Raw genomic sequence first — 6793 nt, 5'->3', positions numbered from 1 at the left:
TATGGTTGTCGCCTTCCTGGAGATGTTAGCCGCCCCCTCCAGAGGTGGTTCCAAATCTATTTCTCATTTGGCTGATTTAGGAGAGGCTGCGAATCGGTCGCTATGGTTTCTTTATTTTCTCCTGACAGCTTAGGAATCATTTTTCCAATTATTCCCAGGGGAGGAAAAAGAAGTGGAGGAAGCCAGTGTTTGGAATGAGGGGAAGCTCACGGATCTGAAATGCAACCTCTTCTGCAGGAGACCCGGCACAGCTACCGGGACCCATCACCTCCCTGTAGGAACCCCGCCCAGCCCCCTCCAGCCAGCCCTGCGTGGTTGTGGCCCCACTGCAGAAACGCCTCCGCTTAACACTCCAGCCTCTCTTCTATTCGGTCAGGCCACAGCTGCTGACTTTGTGCCTGCTGTAGCAACCCCGAGCCCCCAAATAAACCCTCCCTCCCAGGGTGGCCTCTCTACGGGGGGAGACAGACGGTGACCAAAAGCTATCAGTTAAATGCACAAACAGGACTTAGAGGGTGGAAAGTGACAAGAAGAGAAATATGGCAGGAAAAAGGGGTGGGGGTGAAATTTTACACAGAGCCATGGGGAAGGCTGCTGAGGAGGACCTGCAGGAGTGGGGGGCTCCCAGACAGGAACTGTGGCCCACTGCACGGATATGGGCAAGTTTGGAAGGGAATGAGCCACTCCAAGCCTCAGCCTTGGCCAGCCATTCTCAGGTCCAGGCAGGAAAGATGCCAGCAGTCCCACATCAGCTGAGGTGTTCAAACACAGTGGTGTCCCCTAAGCAGGGAGACTGCAGAGGGGATTCAAGCCCTGGGCAGGGGGCTAAAGTAGGCCAATCCTGGTTCTGCAACTGTCCCTGGCCCAGCAGCTTGTTGGCTGTGTAGCGTCTCAGGCACTCCCTAAAGGTCAAGGAGTCTTGGCCGAGACTTCGGCTCACCCCAGCCCAGCTTCTGCTCCTGGCCGGGAATGGTGTTTCCTAACCACACGTCCATGGAGCAGGAAGGTACGCCTCCACCCGCTCCCATTCCTTCTCCACAGCTTGCCACAGGGCAGTGCTGGGTTTAGTTCCTCTCCTTATTTAGAGCTGGGGCGTATCAGGTGTGCAGCTGGACAGGTACCAGCCAAGGCAGAGAATGCAAGTCAGCCACGGGTGGCATGTCGGGAAGCACCAGAAGGTGCCAACTTTGGCATCCAGGGCCTTCCTGGACCTGCTGAAATTTGGTCTAAATGTGCTCTTGTACCCGTGTGGAAGGGCTCAGTGCAGCCTGGGTCTGGGATTTCAGGGAGCAGAGTATGATTCTGGATGGGTGATTTAGCCGCAAGTGAGAGTTTTTACTGAGCCCAGCAATGGGCAGAGCATGGTTCTGGGGGTGGCTGGCTTGGGGGCGACACAGACAGGTAAACCAGTTGTCCGTGTGAGTGGAGGGGGCAGAAGTTGATAAGAGCAGGGAGTGACGGGCAGGGGGGTCTGGGAGCTCATTTCTCATAATTAGGTGTTTTCATGGTAGCTTTGTGCTGCCGCCGACAGAACCCCTTGTTGGGATGAACTTGTAGTGGGATGATATTTTAATCTCCCATATTCTGTTAGTTTGCCAGAGCTGCCCTAACAAAGTACCACAAACTAGGTGGCTTGAAACAATAGAAATTCACTGCCTTGCAGTTCTGCAAGCCAAAAGTCTCTGATCAAGGTGTGAGCAGGGATGGTTCCTGCTGGGGCTGTGACGGAGACTCTATTCCAGGCCTCCCCAGCTCTGGGTGGTTTTCTGGCCACCTTTGGCATTCCTGGGCTTCTAGACACGTCACCTCAATCTCTGCCTTCGTGTCCACGTGGCGGTCTCCCTGTGTGTGTGTCTGTGTCAAAATTTCCCCTTTTTATAAGGATACATTCATATTGGATCAGGGCCCACCCTACTCCAGTATGACATCATCTTAACTTATCACATCGGCAATGACCTAGTTCCAAATAAGGGTCCTTCGGAGGCACCGGGGGTTAGGACTTTGTATTCGTTTGCGGGACTGCTATAACAAAGTACTGCAGACCCAGGGGCTTAAACAATAGAAATGCATTTCTGCCAGTTCTGGAAGCTGGAAGTCCACGACCAAGGGGTCCGCAGGGCTGGTTTCTTCCGAGGCTTCTCTCCTTGGCTTGCAGAGGAACGTCTCCTCCCCGTGTCTTCACCTGGCCTTTCCTCCGGGCATGGCTATGTCCATATCTTCCCTTCTCGTAAGGACTCCAGGCAGATGGGATTACAGCCCACCCACATGACCTCATTTTAACTTAATTACACTACTTCTTTAAAGGCCCTTTCTCCAAATGCAGTCACATCCTGAGGTACAGGGGTTAGGGCTTCAACATATGGATTTTGGAGAAACACAATTCAGGTCATAAGACTTCAACATATCTTTTTGGGGGAAACAGTTCAACTCATAACACACACTGTGAAGCAGTTTTATCTCTTGCTGCAAACATTTCCTCAGCTCCCATTCTGTGCTGGGCCCCGTGCTAGAAGCCGGGGGAGCCGTAGCATCACCCTTCCAGGAGCCCCGTCTGCAATGGGTGACAGACCAGTCGTGACTGTAGCTCGTGTGACAGCTGCCAAACTAGAGGCTCAAGGGTGAGGGGCTGGGAGAGCTGAGAGGAGCCACACTCGCTCTGTGGGGAAGTGAGGCAGGAAAAGGTAACTGGACAAGGCTGACTGGGAGGTGGCCAGACCAGCAGGAGGGTGGGGGTGTTTCAGGCAGGGGGGCCACACTTGCAGACGCTCAGAAGCACCAGGGAGCCTGGCACATTCCGGAAACTGCAGCTGCTTCCTCCGAACCTTCTGGGCATCTGCGAGGCCCTCCTGACCTGGATCCCTAGCACCCCGACCCAGTTCTGTGAAGCGTGTCTCTGGGCGCTCCTGAAGGCAGGACTGAGAGCTCCTGTCCCTCCCCTTGCTCCGTTTCCATGTTCTGGGAGGAAAGAATGAATGGAAGTTGCGAGAAACTGGGCTCACATGTTCAGCAGTCGGCATTGACTGAACAGTCCTGTGCCAGGTGCCTCACTTGCCTTGCATTTTTTTTTTCAGTGTAAATCCACCCTTTATTGCCTCCAAAAAGATATTTTCTACAGCTTTACCCAGGTATAACTGACATTTAATGAAGCAGTACAATTTGATGAGTTTGACATGTCTACACCTGTGAAACCGCCCCCTGAAGCCATGTGCCCCTCTGTCGCCCGTCCCTCCTGCCCCTGCCCACCCTCTCTCTCCAGACAGACTCTGATCTGCCTCTGTCACTGTGATGAGTGTGCATTTTCTAGAAACATCTGAATGGAATCATTCTTCACACACTCTTCTCCCATCTAGTATAAGGAGGTGACGTGGAACTTTCTGAGAAATGGTCAAACTGTTTTCCAAGGGGGCTATGCTGTTTTCCGTTCCCGCCAGAGAGGAGTGGGGAGGTCAGGGGGGCAGCTGCCGTTCCGGCCAGCACTGATTGTCTGTCACTGTCGCCGTGGGCGTGTGGTGGCATCTCACTGTGGCTTTCATTTGCATTTCCTGGTGGCGAATGACTCCGAGGTTTGGTTCTCACGGCCTGCCCGTGAGGTAGGAGGTGTTGGCCCAGTTTCCCAGGGAGGAGGCTCAGGAGCAGAGCCATGGGGTAACCTGCCCGAGGCCACCCCGCCCCGAATGGGAGAACCGAAGCTGTCCCTGTTGCTCACCTTCTTCTTTCCTGAGCTGGTAGATCTCTTGTGACCCCATTAACTCTGAGCCCCACCGGGTGTCCGGTCAGGGCAAGGGACAAGCTGAGGGAGGAAGAAGGAGCCGCCAGCTTCCCCGCCCCAGGCTCTCTGTCTTCAAAAGCAGCAAACACGCCCGGCCCTCAGCATGGAGCCTGGCCAGGGGCCCCTTCTTTTCTATCAGCCTCAAGTCACTAGACGCCCATAGCGCGCTCCTCTTCTCTTCTATCAGCAGGAGCAGAGTCCCCCAGCGAAGTCTCCCCGCTCCCCACAGAGCCCCTCCAGCCCGGCTCCCTCATCCCTGGAGAGGATCCCAATCTCCTCAGAACTCACCCTCCCACGGCTGCCTCTGCTGTGGGGACTCCCGAGGCTGTGGACAAGTGGCTGGAGGCACCCCCCGTCGGAGGGGCGGGTGGCAGGAGCGCCTCTGGGGCGGGGCAGCCACCTGGGGAAGAAAAGGGGGGGCCACGGGGCCCTTGGGTGCCCGGCCCGCCCCATACACAAGGCCAGCTTCCCTCTTAGCACACAGGGCTGTGTCCCTGACACAGATTAACCAGACCCCAGAGCGGGGGAGTTGATGGCTCTGAGATAAGCTTGTGCCCCCCACCCCAAGTCATGGTGTCAAATCTAACTTAAGGGGTTTCTCAGCCAAAATGCCGTTTGCCACCAGGACTGTCCCAACAAAGGACTTTCCCTCTCCCCTTGGCTACTCTTTCTCTTGGTCTTGGTCCTTATCGCGATCCTCAGCAGCACAGGCAGGCTGTGTGTGTGTGTGTGTGTGTGTGTGTCTGCACTTGCACACGTGGTGTGCCAGCAGCTGCGGAGTCATTTGGGCCTGAGTTCTACGACTGAATCCTGTTCCCCTGCGAGGCTTTGTCCCGTTAATGAACTCTCTGTGATTCATTTCACTTCTCTGCATAATGGGCATGACACAGCCTGGAAGTTGGGCGTGATAAGTCAGTTAAAGGGGAAGTGTCATGTCCAGAGCCTCTGCCTGAGCCTGCACCAAGCAGGCACCTCCACAGGTTTTCTCCCCACTTGTGCCCCTTACTTTTGCCCTGGCCTGCGTCCTGAGCCAAGGGACGGAAGGGAAGGTCTGTGGGTCGGTTCCAGGCGGGGGTAGAGCCCTGAGCTGATGAGGGTTCTGAGCCTGGGGTCCACCCTGACAGTGGAGAACCTGCAATGCTGGGCCAGGAGCCTGAACTTCAGGCTGCCAAAAGTAGAGTAACTCAGCAGGGGCGAGTTCCCAGGGCCCGTGTCCCCTTCCTTCTCCTCACCTCCAATAGCAAAGGGAGGGGTCAGCGGCTGCCCGCCTGTGATAAATCCGAGAAGGAGCCCGGCCAGCCCAGATGTAGAAAACGGCCGACTTGCTCTCGGAGTTTTGTAGCTGCTTTGACTAAAAGCAGCATCACCCCCACCACACCCCAGTGCAGAGAAGTGAACCAGCGCTGAGTCACAAAGCACAGCCCCAAACCTGCCCTGGGCCACAGCCCGCCCACCGCACCCCCAGCTTCCTGAGGTTGGGTCATGGGAGCAGAGACCTGAGAGATGAGGAGGTGCATTGAGGTCTGGGAGGAGCATGCTAAGCCCATGGGATGGCAAGAGCAAAGTCCCCCAGCAAAGGACAAGAGAGCGGCCAGGGCAGCCGTGCCCGAGACTGAGCCTGGAGGGTGATGGGCAGCAGGGACTGTCCGGAGCCTTGTTGGCCAAGGATGAGTTCAGTTCTCATCTGAAAGCCACCAGAAGGTTTTAGGCTGGGGAAGGGCAGGATCTCATGCTTTAGAAAGGCACTGCTGGCTGGGCGCCGTGGCTCATGCCTGTAATCTCAGCACTTTGGGAGGCCAAGGCGGGCGGATCACGAGGTCAGGAGTTCGAGACCAGCCTGACCAACATGATGAAATCCCATCTCCACTAAAAATACAAAAAAAATTAGCTGGGCATGGTGGCACGCGCCTGTAATCCCAGCTACTCAAGAGGCTGAGGCAGGAGAATCGCTCGAACACAGGAGGCGGAGGTTGCAGTGAACCAAGATCACACCACTGCACTCCAGCCTGGGTGACAGAGCAAGATTCCGTCTCAGAAAAAAAAAAAGGAAAGAAAGAAAGGAAGGAAGGAAGGCACTGCTGGCTGCGTGGTGGAAACCAGTCTGCTGGAGGGCAAGAGTGGAAGAGGCCATTGCAGTCACTCAGGCCAGCGGAGACGTGGGTCTGGCCGGGCCACGGCAGTGGAGGCGGGAGGAGCGTAGGGTGCAGGGTGCATATTCTGGCTGCAGAGCGGGGTTTCTTGGGGCGCTGCTACCGACATTTTGGACTGGAAGACACTTCACTGTGGGGTCTGGCCTGTGCACTGTAGGGTATTTAGAAGCATCCCTGGCCCCAATCCACTAGAAACCCATAGCCCTACCCACCCCCAATTATGACAATAAAACATGTCTCCAGACATTGCCAAATGTGCCCTGGGGGCCACGGTCCCTCTGGGCTGAGAACCACTGCTGCAGAGCCTGCAGAACTCAGGGCTAGATTGTGCATGGATTTGGAGCGAAAGAGAGAAAACAAGCACCACCAGGGGTTTCTCATCTCAGCAATTAAGTGGGGCAGTTACTGAGTTCAGGAAGCCTTGGAGCCAACGGCCGCTGTCAGGTTGAACACTGGAAAACAACATTGGAAACTACAGTCTGGAGCTCAGGGAGTATCTGGGTTGAAGGGAGAGACGGGAATGTTGCTGGGGTGCAGCTCTCCAGGGACAGAGTGTGGACGGAGAAGAGCCAAAGAGACAGCTCCAATGTCACAGCCTCAGAAAGAGCGGACACCAGGCCAGTGGGCCTCACAGGAGCCAGGGGAGACACTTGCAGGAGCAGGAGCAGGAGCGGTCTGCTGGGTCAGATGCGGGGATGTCTGAGTAGCATGCGGACAGTGAGCTGGGTGAGGAAGGAGGGAAAAGCTAAGCCCCTTCCCAGCTGCAGGCTTCCTACCTGCAGCAAGCTCAAGACAGCAGAGGCAAGAAGACTTCATTTTCACTCAAATTCAGGACGGGACATTTAACCTTCCTGCAGTGAGACAGTTTTTATTA

At 55.6% G+C, this 6793-nt stretch overlaps 1 long non-coding RNA gene across 2 annotated transcripts, besides 6 other annotated features; it reads right to left on the bottom strand.

Annotated features, from left to right (window-relative positions):
- Nucleotides 210-732: an enhancer, noted in NCBI's record as "H3K4me1 hESC enhancer chr2:9897367-9897889 (GRCh37/hg19 assembly coordinates)". NCBI's record gives its function as "activates a minimal SCP1, AML or CMV promoter by ChIP-STARR-seq in naive H9 embryonic stem cells {active_cell/tissue: H9 hESC(naive)}" and the evidence as "EXISTENCE:reporter gene assay evidence [ECO:0000049][PMID:30033119]".
- Nucleotides 733-1255: an enhancer, noted in NCBI's record as "H3K4me1 hESC enhancer chr2:9896844-9897366 (GRCh37/hg19 assembly coordinates)". NCBI's record gives its function as "activates a minimal SCP1, AML or CMV promoter by ChIP-STARR-seq in naive H9 embryonic stem cells {active_cell/tissue: H9 hESC(naive)}" and the evidence as "EXISTENCE:reporter gene assay evidence [ECO:0000049][PMID:30033119]".
- On the bottom strand, nucleotides 3117-5138 carry LOC124905969 (uncharacterized). 2 transcript variants are annotated; one of them, XR_007086205.1, is made up of 3 exons: nucleotides 5002-5138; nucleotides 3707-4169; nucleotides 3117-3579 (listed from the first exon to the last, which is right to left on the bottom strand). It is a non-coding gene; the product is annotated as an uncharacterized LOC124905969 (long non-coding RNA). The 2 variants fall into 2 exon arrangements; XR_007086204.1 differs by having other exon boundaries at nucleotides 3117-4169.
- Nucleotides 3283-3432: an enhancer, noted in NCBI's record as "active region_15294". NCBI's record gives its function as "activates an Ori minimal core promoter by ATAC-STARR-seq in GM12878 lymphoblastoid cells {active_cell/tissue: GM12878}" and the evidence as "EXISTENCE:reporter gene assay evidence [ECO:0000049][PMID:35858748]".
- Nucleotides 3283-4116: a biological region, named in NCBI's record as "H3K4me1 hESC enhancer GRCh37_chr2:9893983-9894769".
- Nucleotides 3330-4116: an enhancer, noted in NCBI's record as "H3K4me1 hESC enhancer chr2:9893983-9894769 (GRCh37/hg19 assembly coordinates)". NCBI's record gives its function as "activates a minimal SCP1, AML or CMV promoter by ChIP-STARR-seq in naive H9 embryonic stem cells {active_cell/tissue: H9 hESC(naive)}" and the evidence as "EXISTENCE:reporter gene assay evidence [ECO:0000049][PMID:30033119]".
- Nucleotides 4117-4903: an enhancer, noted in NCBI's record as "H3K4me1 hESC enhancer chr2:9893196-9893982 (GRCh37/hg19 assembly coordinates)". NCBI's record gives its function as "activates a minimal SCP1, AML or CMV promoter by ChIP-STARR-seq in naive H9 embryonic stem cells {active_cell/tissue: H9 hESC(naive)}" and the evidence as "EXISTENCE:reporter gene assay evidence [ECO:0000049][PMID:30033119]".

Source organism: Homo sapiens, chromosome 2 (genome assembly GCF_000001405.40).
Source record: "Homo sapiens chromosome 2, GRCh38.p14 Primary Assembly".
Classification (NCBI taxonomy): domain Eukaryota; kingdom Metazoa; phylum Chordata; class Mammalia; order Primates; family Hominidae; genus Homo; species Homo sapiens.
Note: the sequence above shows the minus strand (reverse complement) of the source record. Positions and strands in the feature narration are given on the sequence as shown.